At 33.6% G+C, this 27,493-nt stretch overlaps 1 protein-coding gene across 11 annotated transcripts in view; it reads left to right on the forward strand.

Moving 5' to 3' along the window:
* The window catches only part of CCSER1 (coiled-coil serine rich protein 1), a 1,477,902-nt gene that overhangs the window by 983,499 nt on the left and 466,910 nt on the right, over window positions 1–27,493 (forward strand). The window contains exon 12 of one of the 11 annotated variants that reach the window (XM_017008195.2): window positions 18,951–19,108. The exons of the other annotated variants lie outside the window; for them this stretch is intronic. Coding sequence (XP_016863684.1) covers window positions 18,951–18,980 — 30 coding nt within the window. The 3' untranslated portion in view covers window positions 18,981–19,108. Of the gene's footprint in view, window positions 1–18,950; window positions 19,109–27,493 lie in introns of those variants that run through there. 11 annotated transcript variants of the gene reach the window in all.

Consider the following 27,493-nt stretch of genomic DNA (forward strand, 5'->3'; position numbering starts at 1 on the left):
AAATAAATAGAGCAGTAAAAGTTGGTAAGTATATTTAATTTAATTTCTTCCCATAATATCCTACTTAAATATATAGATGATGATAATAGTTGGCACTTCTTAGGTGTATTTGAGTTATTAAAATTAAAATTTGATATAGTGAGAAAAATAAGTATATAGCCTGATTTTATGGGAACCATTTTTAAATGTGGTTGAATTTTTTTTAATTTGACAAGTTTCATAATTTTAAAGCTGGTGATTCAAGTGAATTTTAAAGCATGTTTATGCTGTTGCATTATGGGGCAAACTCAGCTGGTTAAATTACCCGTTATCCTTTGTCAAAATTAAATTATACAAGGTCTGCAGACACTCATCACTTTTATCTAATGTGACCACCTTGAACTGTAATTCCCTTTTGAATAAATAAGGCTGATTCAGGTGGAAAGAAGATTAACTGATTGCCTGAAGTTATGTAATGCATGTGGATTTAGTACATAGGTTTTAAAATGACATTGTTAAATGGTATTTAAACTAATGTGTAATAATTAAGGAAGGACACTCTTTAAAATGACACAAAAGTGATATATGAATATGAGGACCAAGAAACTGTGCATTGGCATATAGAAAATATTAGTCATTGGACAATACAATTAATTGATAGAACAAGTATTTTTCATAATTTCTGCTAACATAGGAGGTGACATAAAAGGGAGTAATTTGAATTTTAAAAATAAAATAAAGATTGTATATATTTTAGGAGGTCATAAATTTGTAGGTATTAAGTAGCATGAATAACTCTTCTTTTCCATCCTGAAAACTCTACCAATGTAGAGTTAATACTCTATAATTCATGAGGTAGTCTGTAATAATAAAACATTAAACCAACTGGGCTCTTTTCCCGGGAATCACTGAAGCAAGAAATACTGTATCAGGAGAAAGGAAAAGAGAAAAAGAGAGAAAGAAGAAGACAATAAAACAGAAAAAAAAAAAAAAGGAAAGAAAACTAGATGGCCAAATTTAATAGGGTAAATGGAAAAGCTGTCCATTTTATATGCAGTCAAATAAAATTTTCTTTCTAACCTTGGAAGGGCTACTCTTAAAGCATAAACCAGTTTTATGTTATGAAAGGACATTCAAATATGCCTTATTTCATGTAACTGTGGGGAAAGCACTTTATAGCTCTGCCTTTAAACCTTAAAGTCAGCTTTAACGTGTTTCTAAAAGTTATATTCCGGTATTGCTGAGATATTCCTATCACAAAGCTATTTCCAAAGCCATGTTTGTGGTCTAAGCATGTATCTGTAACTTACTAAGAGATCGTCCTGAAAAATTGAGGACAAGTCCAGTTTTTATTTTTGCTCATTGAATAATGACGTTTCCTAAAGATCTTTGTCTTGTAGGCCTTCCTTTTTTGACACTTTTTTTTCTTTTTCTGAGTAATCTCATACCTTAAGTGATTATAAAGTTTGACTGTGTTCTGACGGTTCTTAAGTTTTTATCTAATACAGCTTTATCTCCAGACCTATGTATTTATTTACTTGTTGGATATTTTGACCTAACTATTCTGTAAGTTTTAAAAATTTGTACAGAGACAGTGAATTGATAATCTTTATTATCTTTGTTCTTTCCTCCTTCATACACAAGTTCTTTCTGCTTAGTTTTCTATTTCATTTAATGTATTACTACTTAAGGGTCACTCATTGCAGAAAACATTGAATCAACCATACTTCTTTCTCTCTTATACTCCCTGTTCTCAAGGTCATTATGCAGTCTCTACTTCAATCTCAGTTTTATTTCTTCCTGTTTATCTCAATTCGTGTTGAATGAGTTTGTGTCTTCATCATCTCTGAAGGAAATTATGATCATAACTTCTTAATTGTTTCTCCATCCTCTGTCCTCTTCCATCTTCAGCCTCTCTTCTATATTGTTATTGGAATATAATTACAAGACATTTTCATGGAAGAATATTACTACCTTCCCATCACACAAAGATAAGGGCTAAACTTCATCAACTGAGACTTTAGCAAAGAGGCCTTAACTTACCATTTTAGAAATATCCAAATTTTCTCATCTCTTCTTCAGCTAAGACGTAATGAGGGAATTTTAGTTTTTCTTTAAGACCCAGTACAAATGGCATCTCATTCAGCAGAAGAAGTTACCTATTCTGTGGCATATTTGCACTTGTTATAGCTGCGGCTATAGAAATTATTACATTTTTAAATATTAATTGCCTTACATGTGTCTGTTTTACTAAATCAAGAGATCTTCTAGGGTAGGGATTGTGTCTTTTATATCTTTACAATCTTCAGAACCTGATTTAAGAGACTTAAGTACAGGAAGTGTTTATTAAACATTTGTTGATACAACAAACGCATGACATTGTGTTGGGAGGCTCTGAGTTGCAAGGGAGACCTTCTTGAGATTTGCAGGAATTACCACTAGATGTCACTAGCACATTTCTGATAGCAATTTCTCAATCAAGAACAACTAACCTTTACTGAGGACCTACTGTGTGCCAAGACTTTTTAAATAATTCTGCAAAGCAGGTATTATCATCACAAATCCACCCTGGAGACTTACGTTTTGAGTGATTAGTAGGTCATACAGCTAGTATGATGTAGAGGTGGGATTTAAATTTCTGCCATCAAGCCCGTGGTTTTCCCACAATCCAAGCTACATTCTGTTTCTTTTGTGATAACTGAGCCTCTGGCCTCCGTATGATAAATAGCATATGCTACCTTTCCCAATGGATTAAATCTTTATTGACAAAATAAGCTATTATTGAGCTATCTAGGCACTCACACATACCCTTTGAGTTAAGAGTCAGTGACTTTGTTTCTATAAGCTTTTACTAAACATAAAGCAATTTATCATTCATAGAAATCTTTTAAACATATAAATATAGATTTTGAAAAGGAGCAGATAGATTTTTATTCTCAGTTATTTATGTTTTTTGCAATTTAGCATTTGATATCTACATTTTTTTTTTTTTCTTTTTTGATACGGAGTCTCGCTCTGTCGCTCAGGCTGGAGTGCAGTGGCGCGATCTCGGCTCACTGCAAGCTCCGCCTCCTGAGTTCACGCCGTTCTCCTGCCTCAGCCTCCCGAGTAGTTGGGACCACAGGCGCCCACTACCACGCCCGGCTAATTTTTTGTATTTTTAGTAGAGACGGGGTTTCATCGTGTTAGCCAGGATGGTCTCGATCTCCTGACCTCGTGATCCGCCCGTCTCGGCCTCCCGAAGTGCTGGGATTACAGGCTTGAGCCACCATGCCCAGCCAATAGCTACTATTAAGATAGAGTTGTTAATTAGTGATGGACATATCCATGAAATACAGACACTACCTCCAAGCAGCTTATAAGCTTATGATGTTTCCTTGATTCAAAGTCAAGAAACATCATAATACTCTTACTGTAGGGTGTATTTACTCTGAGACTTTGGAATCCAAAGAGCATCTATAGATACCAATTATGTTGATAATGTGACTTCCATTATCAACACTTGGATCTTAAACACTTAGAAGCACATTCCTAAGTATGCTAAAGGCCCACTATGTTCCTGCCTGCTCAGTCAAGATGTCATCGTATTTTTAGACCTAACTCTGCTTTTGGAGAGTCCCAATAAAGACCCAGAACTTGAGGAGAGGTATCACTGTAGAAACCCTTTCTAATCAGAAGAAAACACTGTCAGAAAGAATGATGAGAGGGTGCTTAGGCCTGAATGCGTGCATTTGAATGGACCTCATCCTGCTTCCTGCTCTTTGCAGTTGGTGGCACAAAAGCAGTTAGCAATTATACAAATGAAAGAAAGATGAGAGGGAGGGAGACGGCTCCCGCTTCTCCTTATATTTTACAGCTTCTCTTCAGTTTAGTCAATTTCAGTATCTCATCAGACTAACCTTTCTGCCAAACTCATTGGTTGTTAGTATTTTTGCTTCTGTTATTGTTAATTATTAAAAGGAGTTAAATCTCATTAACTGATTTAAAATTGTACACTTATATACAACATGATAATTTTCTCCACAGATTTTAAAATGTAAGAAATTAATGTAGTCATGGAAACAGTTTATCTCCTTCTCTTAATATTTTATACATGCCGTGAGTTTTTATTTTATGGGAAATTAAATTATATAAATTGGAAAGTTAGCAAAATAAAAGAATAATATATTTCCAGTTTATTTCAAAAATTAGAAATAGTTTTAACTTCTAATATTAAATATGTATAAATAATAGCATAATGTCAAAGTTGAAGGGCCAATTGAATAATAAATTATGTTATTTCTACAAAGGGATGTCTTTTTAGAAAGTAAGTGAAAATAGTTACCAACTTTGTCAATATTTGCATTGAATTATGAGTTTTCAACTAAGTGAGATCATTAGCAATACATTTCTCAAATAAAATGTACCCAGTTTGTACTCCTGTCTTATCAGAAAAGAACATCAAATCTTTTTTTCTTTCTTTTTTTTCTTTTTGAGATGGAGTCTTGCTCTGTTGCCCAGGCTGGAGTGCAGTGGCCTGATCTCGGCTCACCGCAACCTCCATCTCCCACATTCAAGAGATTTTCCTGCCTCAGACTACCAAGTGGTTGGGACTACAGGTGTGCGCCACCATGCCCGGCTAATTTTTGTATTTTTAGTAGAGATGGAGTTTCACTATGTTGGCCAGGCTGGTCTCCAACTCCTGACCTCGTGATCTGCCCGCCTTGGTCAACTCTTTTTTTATACTGATAAAGACTAGAGAAATGTTCTCTGTTATGTACGCCTTCCATCTTTTGCTTTCTACTTTTGCCTGGCTCAGGGTACATACTAAAAAAAATTTCAATGGAATGTTGAATGCATGAGTAAATAAGTTGGATATATAACGAAAGTTGGAGAAAGATTTGGTAATCACTCAGTGGCTTCCTCCTCTTGCTCCCTGCCTATCCTAGCTTTTTCTTTTTTTTTTTTTTTTTTTCAAATTTCCATTCTTTTATATATATATATATATATTTTTTTTTATTATACTTTAAGTTCTAGGGTACATGTGCACAAAGTGCAGGCTTATTACATATGTATACATGTGCCATCTTGGTGTGCTGCAGCCATTAACTTGTCATTTACATTAGGTATATCTCCTAATGCTATCCCTCCCCCCTGTCCCCACCCCACAACAGGCCCTGGTGTGTGATGTTCTCCTTCCTGTGTCCAAGTGTTCTCATTGTTCAGTTCCCACCTATGAGTGAGAATATGCAGTGTTTGGTTTTTTGCCCTTGCGACAGTTTGCTGAGAATGATTCACAATAGCAAAGACTTGGAACCAACCCAAATGTTCAACAATGATAGACTGGATTAAGAAAATGTGGCACATACACACCATGGAATACTATGCAGCCATAAAAAATGACGAGTTCATGTCCTTTGTAGGGACATGGATGAAGCTGGAAATCCCTGGCTTTTTCTAGTGAGAAACCACCATGGAAAATCCAGGAACTCACAGTGTGCCGCTTGCAAGCTCTGATTTAGTAAAAGAGTAACAGGAGAGCCTAGTGATGAGAGGGCATGCTCTTTGGAACCAGAATGCCCGCGAACAAATCCCTGCTAGGTAATTTACTAGCTCTTGTAATAACAACAGCAAAGAATTAGAAACAGTAATGAGCCTCAGTTTTCTCCTCCTTAAAATGGGAGACAGTTGTGGTATCTACTTCATAGAGTTATTATGAGAATTAAATGGGCCAAAATATGCAAAGCCATTAGAACATACATAACATTTTGTAAATGCTTTGGAGATGGTGGTTGTTGTTGCTGCTGGTGGTGGTGCTACTGCTGTTTTTGTTGTTAAAGAAAATTGCAGTTTAGGAAGGATAGGAATAAACTATCTAACAGGCTGCCTTGTTTGGTCTCCAAGTGATAAACAAAAAACAGGGATCATTTTTTTTACTTCAACCTGCATGAAGAATTAGTTTTACCGAGTGGGAAGTTTGGGAATTATATATTTTTTCTTTCATAATTCTAAGAGGGAAGAATGGGTTTAAAAATTACTTAAATGAGAGACTGGTGATTTTTTAAATGTTCATCATATTTAGTAGGCTACTTTACTAGTCAAATTTTTATATTTGTTTGCTAGAAATAAATTTGCATATAAAGCCTGCTTTTGAGCCTCTCAATGAATCATACCTAAAGAAACCTCCATGCAGGTTTTGAGCCATAAAGAAGGCACCACCTAATGGCAGAATGTTTTAATTGCTAGTACAAAGCTAAACAGAAACAATCAGCCTTTAATGTTAAGCTTGCAAATGGAAATAAAAAGATAGCATTCATTACAGCAACATCCATTTATATATGTAAACCTTGGTTCCATGTAAATGAGCCTTGAGGCTTAGCAGGACTAGAAAACAATTGCAGATTATGAATATGATCATTGAATGTGAGGACCTTCCTGAGACATCATAGTGTTAATACCAGAATCCAGTCTGCCAGGGTTCAAATCTAGACTTTACCTCTTATTAGCTGTTGAGTTGGCCTTAAGCAAGCTATCTAACTTTATGCCACACATTCCTTGTCTGGGACCTATGTCAGGGTTATTGTAGATTAAGTAGCTTATAACATTCTTAGAATAGTATCTGATGTAGAATAAGTACTATGTAAATGCTTATTAAGTGGATGAATAGAATTACTTTATGTACTTCAATTCAATGAAGTTCATAAGAAGAAACCAAAACCATCTTTTAAAAATGTATTAGTGATTTACTGCGTGTTTCAAAGTCAAGGCTTCGAAAGGTACCTCAGTTTTGTACCTTTGCGTTGTAAGGTGTGACTTTATGTTGTCCCAAAAGCCAATGCCATAGGCAGAAAAAAAAATGATTAAGAGCATCAGTTTTGTGGTGTCAACCACACTTTAAAAACCCTGGCTTTGCTACTCAACAGTTACATGACCATAGACATATTCTTATGTTTATATGTTACTTATATTATTTAAACCTATTTTCTTATTTTCATTCATTTGTAAACACTGGAAAATATTATCCCTTACTTTAATCATCCTTTTTTACTTTCTAGCAAATTCACTGTCTTCTTTTCCATTACCCAAGTGACTAAGTGTTGCCATCTTTGATATTTTAAAATATAGGCCCAAAATCTATTGTAAATTGTTTTGTATTAAATAGTTCTAAATTTTATTATGTATTAAACAGCAAAATGCTAACATTATGTATGTCTGGTAAATATTTTATTTTCTTGTTTTTGTTATCCCTGATTCAATATTTTCTTCTAATCGTTGATACTATGTTAAGGAAAGATGCATGCAATTTTATGTAAAATGAGTGCTCTAAAAACAGAAGTACAACTTTGAGAAAATATTAAATAATAATCTAACTCTTTTTCACCTTCTTTGTGGTACTCTCTTTCTGGAAGAAGTAACAACTGTAGTTATGGAGACTTTTTTTTTTTTTTTTTTTGAGACGAGGTCTCGTTCTGTTGCTCAGGCTAGAGTGTAATGGCTCACTACAGCCTCAAGGTCCCGGGCTCAAGCAATCTTCACACGTCAGCCTCCTGAGTACCTAGGACTACAGGTACACACCACTGCACTTGGCTAATTTTTAAATTTTCTGTGGAGACAGGGGCTCACTATGTTGCCCTGGTTGGTCTCTAACTCCTGGGCTCAAGCATTCCTCCTGCCCTGGCCTCCTAACGTGCTGGGATTACAAGAATGAGCCACTGTGCCTGGCTGAGCCTAGTCATGAAGTCTCATTTAGATTGGTTAACTTCATAGGAAATTAAAACACTGAAGAGAAAGTAAGCTTTTATGAATAAACACATATTTTATACATCCCAAAAGAATGCCTTCTGTTTATATGAACAAAAGCTTCATTCCTAATTATACTTCAGTGCTCTTTCTGTCTCTTTTGCATAATATCTAACTTGCAACTTTCTCAATGACATAAGTGTTAGACTGTGTCATTTTGAAAATGGGTACTATGATCAACTCTTACCAGTAGTTTTTGTAGAAGATGTTTCTGTGGTGAAATTTGGGTAAATTGTTCAAATTTAGAAACCTTGATAATATAGCCTCATTTCTTCCACAGGCAGTCTGGGTAAGGAAAATCTGCTTTGGGATTCTCAGTGAATGTGCAAGTTAGTGTTTAAAAGACAACTTAAATTTCCTTCCTTAAAAGAGGTGTGAAGGAGTGAGTTATTGAAGTTGCAATCTGCAGTTTTGATATTCATGTATAAAAAGGGGCAGATGTTCTTTTCTGGTAAATCATTCCCATAATACATTTGCCCTGTATTCAGAGATGCATATGCTTACTGCTAAGTCATGGCAGAGATTTCAGGAAAACATTGATTAAACTCCACTGGTGAGCAAAGGAGAAAAAAGATTAGTCACTTAGAATAGAGTATTATTCTTTCAATCTTCTTTTAGCCTCTCTTCTTTTACAAACTGTGTTTAATTCATACTATTAAGCCTAAAATGAACTGCCATTGTAATGTGTTTTCAGATATGCAAAATTATATATATATAAAATATATCTAGGAATGTTCTTAGGGATTTGATACAGACAAACCCCTGAGAACATTTCTAGACCACATTTTTAACATTTAACTTCACTCATATTTTTAGATTCTCATAACTTCTATATACTGTATATTTCTTTGAGATGTTAAAAAGAAAATAATAGTTAACAGATTCAAAATATGCTTTTATAACCAAAACACAGTTGAGTCAATTTTTTCAAACTGAAGTTAACTGTAGATGTAGTCTGAGAAGTCATTTGTACTGATTAGCTGTGTATAAATAGAAAAAAATTGAAATGTAGGGCTATTTACTATGTATATAAGTATATAGGGAATTAACAGGACTGTCTTCAAAATGAATAGAGATTAGTATATTACTAAGTAGGCATATGACAAGTATGTAGATAGATGAATAGATAATTGAAAAAATTATGCATATATTGTGTAGTGTGCATTTTATATGTATAAATATGTGTGTAAAGCATATTTTTTAAAAGAGAATTCTTATTTTGTATAGGATTTTAAAAAGCAGTTAGGAAGATTTGCCATGGATGGGGACAGTTTGGAAAAGTGGAGGGTTTACAACCCTATGGAGTTTTATAAATTATCTAGTTCTACCTCCATAATTTTAAAGATAATAAAACTGACATGTACAATTGAGTTATATGTGATGACTAAAATAGTTTGATTTTAATATAGAGCTATTAAGCCATAGAGAGTGGGGTATGGAGATTAGAATACTTCGATTGTTTAATAATAATTTGCATAATAGTGATTTGTATATCTCATTTAAGAGTCAATGATCATACCAGTTCCCATTCATTAATTCAATATTAAGTTCTTGAAAAGAGCTCTAAAAGAGTTAAATAAACTTTGAAACATGATACTTAACTAGAATAAAGCATAGTTGGAGCAAAGTGTGGCTGTGGTTTATGGAAGTAATTGCATGAGACAAAGAGACAGAGGTTCTGCTATATAATTACGTGGTCTTATATCAGCATCATGATGATGATGGATACTGAAAGACAATGAGGTCAGAGTTAATATAAAGGATGATTTTCCACCTCTTAGAGATTACTTCAGTATTACTTGAAAGAAAAATCAAAGATTATTGCAAGGTTTTAAGTCTGAGTGGAAGGGCTAACTGTATAAGAATAAGGAATCTCAGAGGAAAGCTAAAACATGGGATGATACTTTAGCTTTAAAGTTTTTTTTGAAAGATTACAGGTTGAGTACTTGTGAAAATTCTTCCTACTTAATTCATGAGAGGAATCTATGTCATGAGGCGTAAAAATTTGAGGGATTATTCTGGGAAGTCATCTACAGACAGAGGGTAGTTGAATCCAGGAGGGAAAATTATCTTCAAGGTGTAGAGAAAATGGGCCAGATTACTTTGGCTGGGGCCTGGGCTATGTTTATAAGTCCGAGGTGATCAAGAAGAGGAATCTGAGATGGAGGTAGAAAAATGATATCCAGAAACTAACAAAATAAAACCAGGAAAATCAGGGGATGTGTTTCAAGAAAGAGGGGATGACAAGTTGTCTTACAAAGGAGTGAATGAGTACTTCAAAAACACCTGCTCTTTTTCATATTCTAGATAAACACCTCTCTTCTCTCTCCCTCCTGCTTTCTATTCTGATTTGGAAAAGGGTCATATAGAAATGGATGTTTAATAAAAAACATTTTGACAGTTTCAATTGGAAAATTTAGGCTTTCTTGAGTAAATTCTTTATATATGTTACATAAACTGTTTGCTGACATCTTTTTTTTTTTCTCATGTGGGGATTTTAAATATTCATCCCTCCCCTGCTCCCCATTGGAGATTTATATTGTCGTTGAACTCAGTCATATAAAGTATTTCTTGTAACATTTTCCTTCTCTTACCAATTTAATTATTAGTTTCATAATGGCAAAATAATAATGAAAAATGATTTATTTTTGTCCCTGATTCACAGTTTTGAATATTAATAATACTGTTAGTATACTTCAAGAGATTTGTCAAAGTTCTGACACTTACTGCAGTTTACCATTAAGAATCTATCTACTGTGTAAGGAAAAGAAGTTGTCTAAGAGGAAACTGTTCCTATTTTCTGTTCTTTATAGTAGAAGTGTATGGCCGTTAATTAGTGATATCATTGTAAAGAAAAATTACATTGAGGTAATGCCCAATGTAAATAAAGTGAAAAATTTTACTTCAGTATGTGCTATGTTGTTGTTAATTGAATAACATATCTCTTCCAGGTTTTTCAAATATGCACTATTAACTTAGTATCTAATCATAAATATGTATTTTGGGCCAAAATATTATTTATTTTTGACTTTTAGATAAATCTATACCAAGAAATAATTTTTTAAAATGTAATACTTTCCTTTAAAAAGAAAGTATTATAAAATAGTTAATGTATGCTAGCACTATAGTTATCATTTATTTATTGAGAAACTTTTGGTTATAGTGTCTACCCCACCTAAAATAATTTCTACTTAATTTCTTTTGACATCCATAATTTCTATAGAAATATAGATAAATATTGATAAATTATCTATGGATGTCAAAAGAAATTAAGTAGAAATTATATATGTGTCACTCCATTTTAACATATAAAAAGTCATTTTGGGCAGAAGATTCTGACTTATTTCAGAATGAATGAAGAAGAAATTACTTTTGTGATTTGTTTCTCCTCCAAAAATAATTTTGAAGTTATTTGGTGACATTTTTGAAATATCCAGCTTTGGTACCTGACATGGAATATGGATTCTAAGGGACTAAGCTTGACTCAGGAAAAGATGCTTGTCTTTAAAAGTTATTTTAACAAGTGATCCCTGATTGGTCAAGATTTGCATTAAAAAATCAACAGTAAATAGTGATGGTTCCTTGATACTATCAATTATTCTTAGCCTACTATCTATTAACTTTGTAGACTCGTAGATACAGAAATAATTCTTGGTCAAACCTAAGATAATTTACTATTGATACTCATTTGTTGAGCTTAATAGTCAATAATTCTTTGAAAGTATATCATTCATTACTCATGTATAACATGTTTCAGCAACTTGACATTTTTTTTCTGACCCTTCCACATATTTTGTTGCCTCAGTAATATACAACCTGAAAAACTATATGCAAATATCAAACATGTTTTCCCTTCAACATGATTCTCCCGCAAAATCCTATTTTTAAAATGATGCAAACAACCAAAACTAGAAAAAGGAAAAACCTATTAAATACTGATCCAAGGCAAACAATAACCCCAACTCATCACTATAAATATAGATCATATTCCGTTGGAAGTGTTTTTTGCTTTATCATTCCAAAGATATACTAGCACATTGAACTCATTATGAAGAAGGTCAAAAACAAAGAATACTTTTTCTAATGCCTGCCCTTGACTTAGCATGTTAGGAAAATGAGCCTATACAAAAGGGATGAGGAGCTGATCACAATGCCTACCTCTCCTGAAGGCATACAACCACCAAATACAAGAGTGGACATGTGAATAAACAAATTTCATCTTGAAGGAAGACGGTGTTAATTAACATCTTACAATGTATAATTTTCTGAATCAATTCTATTGCATTACTTCAAATGATTTTATTTAAATGTGAGCAGAAAATTCAGGGGACCTAACCAAATTTTCATATAGGGCAGAATACTATTTCATTGAATAAATATTAGGGGAACAGTGGGATAAAAATAGAGTTGGGCCTTTATTATGCTGCAATCATGCTTGTTCAATGATACCTTTTTTAAAGAAAGTGTATTTCATCTCAGCTATTTTATTATATCTGTTCCAAGGAGCATACCCATGAAGTTTATTAACAAATTGATTTTCTTTCAAATAGCATAGTTTTCATTTAATCTTTCTCATTTTGTCTCATTATTTGCAGTTCGATTAGTCAGATTCATTATAGCACTGTAACTTAGAAACATGTTTCATTCAAAGAAAAGCTTATGATAAGAAATACAAAAGAATCAGTAAAATATTTACCCAAATAGTCTACTTTTTTTCCATTCTAAGTGCTTTTCAGGGAATGAGAAAATTAGTGTAGTAGTTTCTAATATAGGAAATTATTTAATATTAAAAAAGATAGTCATCTTTGTATTTAATTGATTAAGATACTTAAAGGCTCCATGTTATAGCTGCTAAAGCATGGGGTCAGGAAACCTAAGCCTTAACTCAAAAGTCTGGAATTACAAAACATGACGAAATATTTCTCCATTTTGTAAATTCTGACTTTGATTCTGGGCAAATTGCTTAACCTCTCAGTGATGGTGGTTTCTTATCACTTACCGCATTTGTGTGAATAGAGACTTTCTTTTAGAACAACTATGTGATACCCATAATTCTAATTCTTTACACTTGGTTTTGCATTAGTTGAAGGGAGTTTAAGTTCAGTATTTAATTTTGTCACTATAACAATTTACAAGAAAAAGAATAATTTTTTTCTGTATGTAACTGAGACAGATTTATATATTTATGAAATTGAAGTTGGTGTTTTGGAGCTAACAATGATATAGTGTCATCCTAATTTAATTAAACCTAGTACTAGTCTGCTGGCATTCTATCAGTATTTTCTGCCATCCATTCTTTTGTTTATCTAATTATATGTCATTATTAAGAGCTCATATCCACTGTGAGCAGGACACACTAGCACAAATTAAGTTCAGTGATAGAATTGCCTTATATGATTGTATGTTTTTTATGACCCCTGTGGATTTTATTGCTGGACTATGTGACTAAAGTATAAAACTTGTATTAAAATAAAATTAATGTATTTTTCCCTGATGCATAACCTATATACTAATTGTTAATTATTTTTTCTTTTCTAAATATTGGTAAACTATACAAGAATATTACTGTCATAAAAATTTCAAATATTGTCATTAGTTCTCTTTAGAAGAGAGTTACATCTGTGCAACCAAACATAGTGTAAATAAAACAAGAGAAATTCTGCATTATATTAAAAACTACATCTGATTTGAAAAACCGATGCACATCTTTGGTTGAGACTCTCTACAAACCTGAATATATAATTTCTCATACCTAATGCCTTTACATATTATTTTTTTCCCAAAGTGTAGTGTATTTATCCTCATGAACAGTTTCCATCTAGCTAACTCTGAGGAAGACAGGACTTGATTCAAGCTTCCCCATCTCCCTCATCCCATTCAGACTGACTTAGCTGCTGCTTCTCTGTGTTCCCAACTCCTCTATACTGTTGTCTCAATTGTGGTACCTACTACGATATATGAATGTACCTGTTTTAGTTTATTATCTTTTCATAATTTGATAAACTCTTTGAATATGGAACCATGTCTTATTCATTTTTATATTCCAGTGCCTAGAACAATGTTTGCTATAGAAGCAGACACTCATTAAATGTGTGTGAAAGGATGAATGAATAAATCAACAAAGATTTTTATGGTTGTTTTATTAAGTCTTAGTAATCAGAGTTTGGAAGTGTTAGCATCATGAGCTGAGAGAGTCAAAGTCTTTTTCCTAGATGAATTTAAATTTTATGATATTGAAGCTTGATCTACTTTAATTTTTTTCACTGACTTCTCTTAAACAAGAGAGCAGCTTCTTTTGAACTTTCTTTCCCTACATGTTACTTGTGTAAGTGAAAGCAAGATTAACATACCTTTTAACTTCTTGGATGTAAGTCCTATAAGGATTGAAAATATACATAGAAATAAATTTATGATTTTATTTCTTTTATACTTTAAAACTATTACATGGGATTAAAACTTGCTTCTACTTCAATCAGTATATCAAATTTGTATATATATTTAGGTATATTTTAAAAAATGAATTACATCAGGATTTATGAAATAATTACTACTTGTATACAATTAGCATGACACATGTTGTGTGATAATGTATATATGGGGAATAAATTCTCATTAAAACTGATTAATATAGAGAAGCTCACTTAACAGTAAAATCTAATATAATTGCTACTAAAAACATTGCATGGCAATTTTATTTTTAGTAGTATGGAAGATTTTTATAAACATTACATATCAAGAATTCCCACAGTGAATAGTAAAATTTATCCCTCATTAGAGATCCATGTCTAGTCTGCATTAAAAATTGGCAGTATATGAACATTCATGTTTATAAGGCAGATTAATTAAGATGTGTTTGCTTTACAAGAGGATGTTTTGTGCTTTAGAAGATATTTCTTACCTATCTAAATTCCCTAATGCCTTTACAAAACACATGGATTTTGTTTGAAATACCACACACAAAAATTTCAGATATCCATCTGTTGTATCACAAAGATGCATGATTTAACATAGCCCAGGAGATTCATCCAAAATAGGCCTATTTTATTTCTTGAAAATAGATATGAAGTAGAAAAAGGGTATACATTTTCAACTTTAACACCGAAAAAAATGAGAATTATTGTACATAATTGTAAAATTTTAAAACTACCAACATAAACCAAAAAAAGTGTATTTAACACAGGCACAAGAATTAGTTTTTTAAAAAACTTATTTCAATTTCACAGGTTTAATAAATCACTACAGGCCTAGTGAAAGACTGGGTTTAATCCAAGAATATATTAAATATACATCTCCATTTAAAAAAATTTGCTTTCATGGAAATTTTATGTAGCAAATATACTGAATGTATATTCCAATATACGGACTCTTGATTTACACTCATTGTTATTACTCACAGGGGAAAAAAGTTATAGATAAGTTAGTATGAGACTTATGTATATATTTCTATCTAAGATAAATTTTTTGTATATAAAGTTTTAAGGCTGTCATTTTCTAATAATAAAAGTAATGTCAATTTATCATTCATAAGTTTAGGAAATGCATAAGATTTAACAACTAAAGATGCCTCTGTTAACTCCCTGATGAGTAGGAGGCTACTTTTCAATTTTCTATTTTACTTACACAAGAAAATTAGTAAATTTAGAAGAGGAAACACAACCATAACCTCAACAAACAAGGCAAACTTAATGACTGTCCACCTTTCAGAAACTTTTATGCTTTCTTCTGTCTCTCCATTTGTCTATGTATGTGTGTAATACAGGCTCATAATATATGGATTTTTATGATTCTCTAATGATAAGAATTTCCAAATATGTGTCAGTGTTCACATTAAATTAGAAAAAATATTTCTGCAGCTTATTTATCATAAAATAAATAATCATAGAAGTCAGAGAATGTTGCAAGAATGAAGTTATATGGTCTATAAATTAGATAAAATTCATGTGATTTGATTTGTTACAAGATAGTAATAGTTTAGAATGGCAGCATATAAATTATTTAAAGATGTTTTACATATTCTGTTAAAGAATAGAGTAGATGAGAATAGACATTTTCATGTGAATTTTATTGAAGAAAAGCTTAGTCAATTGAGGTAAGAGCAACTATTCTGTCACAAGTTTGGGATGATCAGATATGCTACATTTGTTGTTTACTATGTAACACTATGTACTTAACAGCAAGCACTCAACAAAAATCTATATTAAAATAAAGAAAAAAATAAACCTGGGATTGAAGATACAGGGCCTGGATGCAGAAACTTGAAGTGGACAGGATTGGTTTTTCAGGATTTTTTTTTTCCACCCAGGAGGCAAGTAGAACCACAAAAGCAACAATGTCTAAGAAAATGCCTTATGACAAAGACAATTTATTTTCTGTTGGGAAACAGCTCTTTGTATTTGACTCAGTCCCTGTTTCTATCATCATCCCTGGACAGCAACAAACAGAACTATGTATCATCGCATACAAAGTACAATCAGAGAAATATGGTTGGCCAAAGAGCTCTGTGCTTTAGAATTTGAATCTGTAAATACTCCACAAATCCCTGTGATAGTGGTGGAATTCTGAATGCCTATGATTCAGAAATTACCAAGGGCACTATATGGATAAAATAAGTCCAGGAAATATGTGAAAAAAATTGAGAGATCCTGAAAAATATAATCAGTTCTACTATTCAGGAGATTGTACTTCTACTTCAAAACAGGTTCCTGTAACCGTAGAGACCATGTGCCAAATAATCACCTCCCCTCGTTTGTCATTCTGCTGCAGGTGCATTTCCTCAGAAAGGCCACAAGCTTAAGTATTATCATTCACACAGAGATCAATTTATTTTGACAGCAAAGTGTTGCAGGCACAAATTTGCATTTGCAGTATGGTAATTTTTTAAAAACTCTATGAATTGGAGATTTTGAGTGCCCTCACTATTTTTACTACCTTTTATGCTTGTTGCTCCTGAAAAAATAAAAAATACAAGAGAAATGTCCTCAATTCCTTTATTAAGTATTATACAGTTATATTTATTTTGCAAAATTGCTTTATAGTTAATACAATATTTTCCAACTCAGAATGTTTCTACCTCCTGGAAGGATAACCAAGAATGTACTGACTGGTCATGACTAATCGAAGAATTAGGCACATTTATTTGGTTCAATCTAGCAAATAGTTATTGCATGCCTACTGGGTGTAAGGCACTGTTATAGATGAGTTGGAATATGGATGCATCTCAAATGGCAAAAATGCTATTGCTTCTGGGGACAAATAAGGTCACATTAGCATACATGCTCAAATTTCCATTGCACTGGGACACTCCCAGATCTCAGTCCTTTTCAAAAGTCCCCTATAATGTATTTCTGGCATGCTCAGGGGAGTCTAAAGTGTTCAACCATGAATCTTATCCTGTTAGTCCTGCTGCTGCTCCCCCACATGCCACTGTGGATGTCAGCCATGCCATGTCTGTTATCAGGAGTCTGCTGCAGGAATTTCACACTCTCATTGTTACTTTCCACTTAAATCTGCTTCTACCCAGGCCCACGTGTTCTTTTCTAATCTTTTCCTTCAGTTTCTGCCTCTAACTCCTCTCTCTGCAGTGTCAGCAAAGACAAAACAAACAAACTAAACCCATTACACCCTCCTTTTATAATCATTACAGCTTCCCTCATTCCAAGTGGTTATTACATTAAATTTCATTCTCTTCTTCAACTTTAAAAGGAAATAATTTGCACAGTTTTCAAAGACAGATAGGTGTAAACCCCTCATTTTATCAGTCACTTCTTGAATTTTCTTCCCTCTCAACTAAAACGACCCCCATTAAACAAAAAGAATTTATAATCTAGTGGTCTGATTGGAGAACACAACAGGTGTATGCATGATGTAATTGCTAAGATTATACATACATAGTTTGTTTTGGAAATTAATACAAAACAAAACAAAATCAGGAAATTATGATTGTTCCTAATCCTAACGGCAAAATCAGAGAATATGGGTTGGCCAAAGAGCTCGGAGTGAGGAAAGTGAGTTGGCAGGCATGGTTCACTCAGGTTACAATACAGAAGACACATAGAAGTGAAAGGGCCTGTGACTCTGAGTTTATGAATGTTCTCTGTGACAGCAGGCTAAGGGGAAAGTGGTCACGTGAAAATACAGTTAGACTAGAGCAAGGCTGATCATTCAAGATGACTTACATTCTACGCCAAATATTGTGAATTTTCTCAGGTGGGTAACTAGGGACAACATTGGGAAATCTGAATAGTGTAATTTATTTATGCATCAACTAACAGAAGACCTAACTGAAAGAAAAATTAGGACATCCATTATCTCACGTAACAAGAAGGTATAGCGATATAAGGTGGATTCAGGGATGGTGAATTCAATCACTCAGTGAAAGCATGGCTTTAACTCTATTTCTCTGCATTTGTTTCTCCTTATAATTTCTAGATGGCCGAATTTCAAGCATCACATTTTCAAACAGTACCCAAAGGAAGGATCAAAGCTTTTTTCCTGTGTTTTTTATTAAGAGCTTTGCCTAGAAATTTTACCCAGTAAAAAACTTCTGTCTGTGTTAGTTTGCTGAGGATACTGGCACCTGTATCCCAAAACTTAAAAATAATAAGTAAATAAATAAGAAAATATATGTTTCAATGACCGAAATCCTTCCATAAACCCACTCAGAAATGAATCATGATTCCTAGAATCCCCCCAACATGAGGCTACCACCTGATACCTGAACAAAATCAGGGTTGTGTTAGAAAGAAGTTGGGGAAAGAGCTAGATAGCTAATTCTGACAGAAAGTAACAAGGTAAGATCTGAAATTTAGATATTTAACTATGAAATAGGATTTGGCATAAGTTAGATGGCATAAGATAGAGACTGGGAGCAAAGAAATAAGAAAAATTTAATGCAATAATATGTAAGATATAATGGAAACTTAAACTAAGCCATGGGACCAAAATAAGAATGTCTATAGAGAGAGACGAGTTAAAGAATTTGAAATGAAACACAGCCATTACCAAAGGACTCTTGGACACGAAGAGTGGGAAAAAGACAGAGATAACTACAGTGTTGGAAACAAATTTAGCAACACTATTAACTGAGCCAATAAATTATTCTATTCTGTAAAAATAGAAATTATTTCTATCAGCACAGTAATATGCTGGTGTTTACCTTGAGAAAATAAATGATTTTGTTTCATTCCATCCAGGTGGCAAAATGTACCCAGGCCCTGTATTGATTAGGAATTTTCAAGTTCTGGACATAAAGTTTTCTCTAAGAAGTGAATTTCTTCTGTATATGTTGTCCTTTTTTCAACATGTCTCCAAATTGGTTGAAGAAATATGTTATGAATTACTGTATTAAAGGCTGTGGATCACATAAATAGAGCTCTGTCTCTTCTTAGGTATACATTTTAATATACAATTTTAAATATGTATTATTTAAGAAAAACAAGCTCTAATATAAAGGGAATGTCTGCAGTAAGGGGTACTGTAGCTGTGTCCATTATATTTAAATTCAATTTCAATCAATTAAAATAATTATCAGACCCTATGTCAGCAGATTTGGAGAAAAAGTATTTAAAAAAGTAAACTCTAAATGACTTATTTTTATATATTATTTTAAAAACATTAATTAATGTTTCAGGAGCAAAGTATAGCTTATTTCAATTGACTATTTTTAAGTGTAATAACCAACATTTACATTATCTTTCAATTTGAATTTATAAACTCTCCAACTTACACCTAAATGTATTGTATTCTCTGTGTGTCTGGATAATGAAGGAAATTGTTTTTTACCTGACCAGGTCCTTCTCAGTTCTAAGTATATGTGATAGTGATCTGTTTTATTCACCACTATACTTTGTAGTTTCTCTCCTTCTTCATCCTCATGGTAATCTTTTCCTCTCTTATATAGCCTTTCTTCTTTATATAGTAAAATATTTTATGTAATGAAAAGTTACATATATGGCATACTAGCCACAAAATATATTTGATATATTTGATGATCTCAATTAACTCATATGTCTCAGCTCCTTTTAAGGGCTTGTGTGGTTTATGACTAAGTATCTGATTTTTTTTAAAAAAGTGTTACATATAGTGAGAGAAGTAATTACCAACTGTTCCACTATCAGGAAGGAAATAACCAATTATCTTACATAAAATGCAATGTTAATAATAACGAGTTCAAGATCTGTACATAAGACAAATTTTGAATTACTTTCACTTATTTTTAATTAAATATATTATTTAGGTTAAAATATTTGTATATGTATTTTTTCCCATTACTACATCTAAAACTTTGATACCTAGTAAAAACAGCTATAGGAGTTCACATACTATATTTATAAAAATAATAAAAACATATAATTCATGTGGATCTGTATATGTTTGCATGTATATTAGAGAAAACTTAAAAATATAATTCTGTGGATCTCAATATGTATACACAGATTTTAGAGAAAACAGTGTTCCAGAGACACTTATTATTTTTGTTCTAAAAAACAATTGTGTAAATAATAGATGACTGATATCTAATATGCTACCCATATTTACATTTTCCCAACTGTTCTGAAAATGTCATTCATAGATGGTTTTATTTTATTTTATTCCTTCAATATAGGATCAAATTAAGGGTGATGTACTGTCTTTAGTTTTCAGGTAATTTTGTCTCCTTTAATCTAGAACAGTTCTCCCCTCTTTTTTTTTTTTTTTGATTCTATGATGTTAATATTTTGCAAGATTCCACACTGTTGTTGTATAGAACACACACTGACCTGGTTGTATCTGATAGTTTCCTCATTGCTTCAATCAGGCTAAACATTTGTAGCAAGACTGCTACATGGGTGATGTGTGTACAAGCAGTATATAATACCTTTGTGATCAGGAGACACATACTGCATTATTTAATTGTGAAGTGTCAAATGTGTAAAACTAATTTCAGATAGTTCATTAAAAGAAAAAATCTATGTGTATACATATTTATATATATTAATCTATTCATCAATCTGTTGATCTAGATAGGTAGATAGATAGATAGATAGATCTTGCATTATAAAAAGAAACAGATGCAGAGAAACAGATAAAGCAAACAGTATCAACTGGTGAATCTAGATGAAGAATCTATCAATACTCATTGGACTAGTCTTTCAACTTTTCTGATCTATTTCAAAGTAAAAAGCTGGGGAGAACAATGGGGTGAAATAGTGAAAGGCACGTGACACGGAGTTTGATACACAGAGGTAGAGTAGCCATTCTACTGCTTGCTGGCTGTATGATTTTGGATGAATCATCGAAAATCTCTGAGCTTATACACCTTAACTTCAAAATGAAGATGATAATATCTAGATTATATATTGTTTTAAAGATTAGAAAAGATAAAAGTTACCTGAGGTTTTCAGACAGCATAGCTAGATTTAGAATAACAAAACAACTCCAGATTCCTCTCAAATTGAAGGCCCAGTGCACTCTGATATCTTACACATAGACATGGAAAATGAATAAAGAATATATTCATCATTTTTGAAAATGACAGAAGTTTAAATTGGCTTGTTGTTCTATTAAAGAAATGAGTTTTTCATAGTTCAGATGACCTTGGTGACTATAAATAAGATAGAGTTCAAGGGTGACTAGTGCAGAGTTAATTAATTTAGGAAAGCAATAAAAACCCATACAAGTATAAGATGAATAAGGACTGTGAAGGTGTACAAAAGGTCACAGAGGGCATTAACGTAAACACATGAAAAAATGCAGCACTGCATCTAAATTAGGAAATCGACACTGGGATATGCAAGTGCTAATATCACAGCATTGGAAAACTCTCTCTGGACCCCAGATTTATTTCACAATTGCCCTGCAATTAAAATGAGATCTGAAGAATGTATTCGTTAATTCTGCAGGTACAATTACCAAGCATGTTTTATTTTCCAAGCTCTCTGCTGGTTGCAATACAAAAATGAATGAGATGAACATCCCTCCCTTCAAGGAGTTCACAGTCAAGTGAAGCAGACATATGTAAGCAATTACAGTCTGTCTTCCCTTGGGTTAACTACTAGATTTGGATGCTTATTTTAAAACAGCATCTAAACATTTATGAAGTATTAGAAAAGTTTTATAAAAGTAGTAACATTTAAGCTGAAACATAACTTTCAGTTTAGAAGAAACAATTTCAAATGTAAGAGAGGAATAAAAAACCTATCCTTGATCTTAAAATATATGACCTCTTAGAGACTTATGATTCCTTACTCTGCATTTTCATAACGTCAACAAGCAATATGAAATATTTACCACAATAATTTTTCTTCCTAACAGACTGTAGATCTGACTTCTTGGGGATATAATCCTTGCTACTTGATTTTGTCAGGGCTTTATTTATGTTTGAAACAAATTCATTAGCATAGGGAAGCTAAATGACACATTTTTGCTTAGTATTTAAAAGACTGAAGAGTCTTGAACGTTGTTTTCCAACTAAGACTTTGTTTTAGTGTGTTCTTTTCCTTGTCTTTTATTCTCACCTTCTCTTCTTTAAATAATATTCATTGGTTCCCTTCTCTTCTCTTTTCTTCCCTTCCCTTCTCTTCCTACCCCCTCCTCTTCCCTTTCCTTTACTTTCTTTTGCTTTTTCTTGTTTTCTTTCCTTTTTCTTTCATTCCTTTGAAGTAGGGTCTGGCGAGGCAGGAACAGAAGAATTCAGGTGTCAGAAAGTGCTAAGATTGTCTGTGGGACAGAGGAGTCATTCGGGTGAGGAAGCGGTTCATGAAGTCAGATATTGATCACATAGGAAGTCAGCGAATGAGTAAATATATTTACCATAATGGGCATCTGATTACTCCCTGTTAGAGAAGAAATTTTAAAATATGGAAGTAGTGAAGGTAGATTGACGCCTCTGGTATTGAACTGGACTTAGAGGCATTGGTATAAACTTTTGATTTTTGATAGATGATAGGTAGATAGATGAGATAATGTGTATGTGTGGGTGCTCATAACACATATATTTCCTAACCATGTCTTTTGAGAGGGACAAGAAGCAATATCATCCCAGAAACAGTGATTCCACCAAGCACCCAAATTTTAAAGACCATTATTTACTAAAAAACAACAGGGCTCTTGGAATAATTTCTGGTTACAGGGATGGGGCAATGAAAGTTTAAGATAAGCCTGAAGTATTTTGTTTTATAAAGTAGTGCTTGCCGGGCATGCTGGCTCACTCCTGTAATCTCAGCCCTTTGGGAGGCCGAGGCAGGCGGATCATGAGGTCAGGAGTTCAAGACCAGCCTGACCAACATAGTGAAACCCCGTCTCTACTAAAAATACAAAAATTAGCCAGGCAAGGTGGCGCATGCCTATAATCCCAGCTACTCTGGAGGCTGGGGCAGAAGAATTGCTTGAACCCGGGAGGCAGAGTTTGCAGTGAGCCGAGATCGTGCCACTGCACTCCAGCCTGGGTGACAGAGCAAGATTCTGTCTCAAAAAAAGAGTAGTGCTCAAAAAATTAAACTTGGAATCCAGCTTTCAGAATCTTCACCCAGAGTTAGGAGGATCCCTTGAGGCCAGGAGTTAGAGACCAGCCTGGGTAGCATAGCCAGATGCTGTCTCTACAAAAGAAATTTAAAAAGATTATTGGGGTGTAGTGGCCCATGCCTGTAGTCCTAGCTACTTGGGAGGCTGAGGTGAAAGGATCACTTGAGCCCAGGATTCTAGGTTACAGTGAGCTTTGATCATGCCACTCACACCACTGCACTCCTGCAACATTTCACTCCAGTCAGGGCAACACAGCAAGACCCTGTCTACAAAAAAAAAACAAAAACAAACAAAAAAACAAAATAATCTTCAGATAATCTGGGATAATTTGAGCATCAAGTTAAATACTGGCAATAACAAATTAAACAGATTCTAACATACTGAATAAAATAGGAATTCTTGAGTTCCTACTGATACAAAGAGACAAATATTAGGCAAATAAATGGGGAGATTGGAAAATTATTCCTTATAGTAAAGTTTCAACTAATAAATGTAGAAACAAGAAAATCACCATTTAGCAGTCATCACAACAATAATTGATGCAGACAACAATCTTCAATGAATGTTAAAATTAGACACTGAAAATTTGTTGAGAAAGGAATATTTTCAGTCTTAAAATACTCCTCCTGGCCAGGCGCGGTGGCTCACGCCTGTAATCCCAGCACTTTGGGAGGCCGGGGCAGACAGACCACAAGGTCAAGAGATTGAGACCATCCTGGCCAACATGGTGAAACCCCATCTCTACTAAAAATACAAAAATTAGCTGGATGTGGTGGCGCATGCTTGTAGTCCCAGCTACTCGGGAGGCTGAGGCAGGAGAATCGCGTGAACCCAGGAGGCAGAGCTTGCACTGAGCTGAGATTGCACCACTCCACTCCAGCCTGGCGACAGAGAGAGACTCTGTCTCAAAGAAAAAAAAAAAAACTATTCTTACTTAATTTTCCCCCCACTTACTGACTACAAAAGAAAAAACAGTAACTTTGCAGTGATGGTTGAAGCCATAATCTTAATGAAATATCACTAGTAATTGGACAAGTCAACATATTTTTAATATCTGTGATGAAGTACAGAATCTAAAACTAATTGTAAAGAAATATTAGATAAATCTAAACTGAAGGGCATTCTGTAAACTAACTGGCCATGCTCTTAAAGAAGTATTACAGTCACAAAGGAAAGGTAAGATTTAGGAACTGCTTACAGTTGAAAAAGGCTAAAAAGACATGACCAAAAAAGTGGATCCTAGACCAGAAGAAAAAACTGTCCACAAAGGGAATTATTGGAATAATTGTTAAAATTTGAATGGAGTCAATGTGATAAATGGTATTCTAGATGGTGGAATTGTTTTTGATGTTCATTTGCTGATTTAGATGATTTATTGCAGTATGGCAGAGTATCCTTTTAACTTAGGAAATTCACACAAATTTTTAGGGGTGGTACGAACTTATCTGCAACTTACATTCAACTGATTCATTAAGAAATATTAGATGCACAGACACCTACACATGCACACACATGAAGACATATACACAAAAGAAAAAGCAGAGAGACAGAAGAAGAAAAGTTGGGTGAGAGAGAGGGAAGGAAAGGAAAAATGTTAAACATACATGGCTAAGATATTCACAAGTAGGGAACCTGGGTGCAGCATGAAGGGAGTTGGTTGTATTATTTTCACAACTTCGCTATAAGTTTATTTTTTAAAAATATCTTCTAACTAATCTATATTTGATGGTCCTGTGAATCATGAGTATATTTGTATAAACCTGAATCATATATGCAAATAATTGAATGACTTAACTGCTGGGGTAATGACATACATACATTATGTTGCCAGACATGAAAATTTTATTCTTATCACCTGTATTTATTGACGTACAAAAGTATGTGGTGTTATACTGGTCACAGTAAAAAATTTTAGTTTCCAAATCCTTATTTTCTTGCATATCAAATCCAAATGTTTTGTCATCCAAAATTCCTCATCTGATGTCCCTGAACCTTCCAGTCCAGTCACCTACCTCTATCTCACATCAACTTCTCACAGCAGCTACACCAAACATCTTGCAGTTCATCAATTAAAACACTACTCTTCACACCTCATACATTTGCCAGTGTTTTTTCCTTTATCTACAATGTCCTCTCCTTCCTCATCCTCATCCTACCGTCTTTATTGGGGTTGTTTCCTTCAAAGATGTGTGGACTGACAGTTAATATTCTGTGTTTACCTCTGTTAGCAATTACAGTCATCTGTTTTAATTGCCTGTTTACTTTGCTGTGTTATCATCAACCTGTGAGCATCTGTAAATTCTTTTACCCAGAATTCTACTCTAATCTTTTCCATCTCCCATCCTGACCTACAATGGATACCCTAAAGTCTTTCTTTTCAATACTATTTAATTTATAAGTATATATAAAAAGTAAGCTCCCCAACATTGGGAGAATTCTTTGTGTTTTCCGAATGTAATGGATATCTTATATTTAAACTGTGAGATAGTATAAGATGTATGTAGAAAAAATGAAAAGTATGAATTTATTCAAACTTTACCCAATATGAAATATCACTGATAATTGATAAAGATAGGTTTTATCAAAATCTATTTATTCATTTTGAGTTATTTTATTTTTACGAAACTACTTGTGAATCATGGTTCTTATTTTTTTGTAACTGTGTCAACTTATACAATATGAGAAAAACTGAGGTTCCCTCTTCATTTTTACTGGCTATGACACACACATTTGTGCTGAAATAATTTGATTTTATAATATAAAAATTTAAACTTGGTAGCTTTCTCTAAAACTAAAAACCCTAACTTAATAGGGAATTCAAAAATTCACTTTAGTGATTATAGAAATGTTTATAAAAATTCTTTTTTTTTTTATTATACTTTAAGTTTTAGGGTACATGTGCACATTGTGCAGGTTAGTTACATATGTATACATGGGCCATGCTGGTGCGCTGCACCCACTAACTCGTCATCTAGCCTTAGGTATATCTCCCAATGCTATCCCTCCCCCCTCCCCCCACCCCACCACAGTCCCCAGAGTGTGATATTCCCCTTCATGTGTCCATGTGATCTCATTGTTCAATTCCCACCTATGAGTGAGAATATGCGGTGTTTGGTTTTTTGTTCTTGCGATAGTTTACTGAGAATGATGATTTCCAATTTCATCCATGTCCCTACAAAGGACATGAAATCATCATTTTTTATGGCTGCATAGTATTCCATGGTGTATATGTGCCACATTTTCTTAATCCAGTCTATCATTGTTGGACATTTGGGTTGGTTCCAAGTCTTTGCTATTGTGAATAATGCCGCAATAAACATACGTGTGCATGTGTCTTTATAGCAGCATGATTTATAGTCATTTGGGTATATACCCAGTAATGGGATGGCTGGGTCAAATGGTATTTCTAGTTCTAGATCCCTGAGGAATCGCCACACTGACTTCCACAATGGTTGAACTAGTTTACAGTCCCACCAACAGTGTCAAAGTGTTCCTATTTCTCCACATCCTCTCCAGCACCTGTTGTTTCCTGACTTTTTAATGATTGCCATTCTAACTGGTGTGAGATGATATCTCATAGTGGTTTTGATTTGCACAAAATCAATGTACAAAAATCACAAGCATTCTTATACACCAACAACAGACAAACAGAGAGCCAAATCATGAGTGAAATCCCATTCACAATTGCTTCAAAGAGAATAAAATACCTAGGAATCCAACTTACAAGGGATGTGAAGGACCTCTTCAAGGAGAACTACAAACCACTGCTCAAGGAAATAAAAGAGGATACAAACAAATGGAAGAACATTCCATGCTCATGGGTAGGAAGAATCAATATCGTGAAAATGGCCATACTGCCGAAGGTAATTTACAGATTCAGTGCCATCCCCATCAAGCTACCAATGACTTTCTTCACAGAATTGGAAAAAACTACTTTAAAGTTCATATGGAACCAAAAAAGAGCCCGCATCGCCAAGTCAATCCTAAGCCAAAAGAACAAAGCTGGAGGCATCACACTACCTGACTTCAAACTATACTACAAGGCTACAGTAACCAAAACAGCATGGTACTGGTACCAAAACAGAGATATAGATCAATGGAACAGAACAGAGCCCTCAGAAATAACACCGCATACCTACAACTATCTGATCTTTGACAAACCTGAGAAAAACAAGCAATGGGGAAAGGATTCCCTATTTAATAAATGGTGCTGGGAAAACTGGCTAGCCATATG

This window comes from Homo sapiens, chromosome 4 (genome assembly GCF_000001405.40).
Source record: "Homo sapiens chromosome 4, GRCh38.p14 Primary Assembly".
NCBI classification, from domain to species: domain Eukaryota; kingdom Metazoa; phylum Chordata; class Mammalia; order Primates; family Hominidae; genus Homo; species Homo sapiens.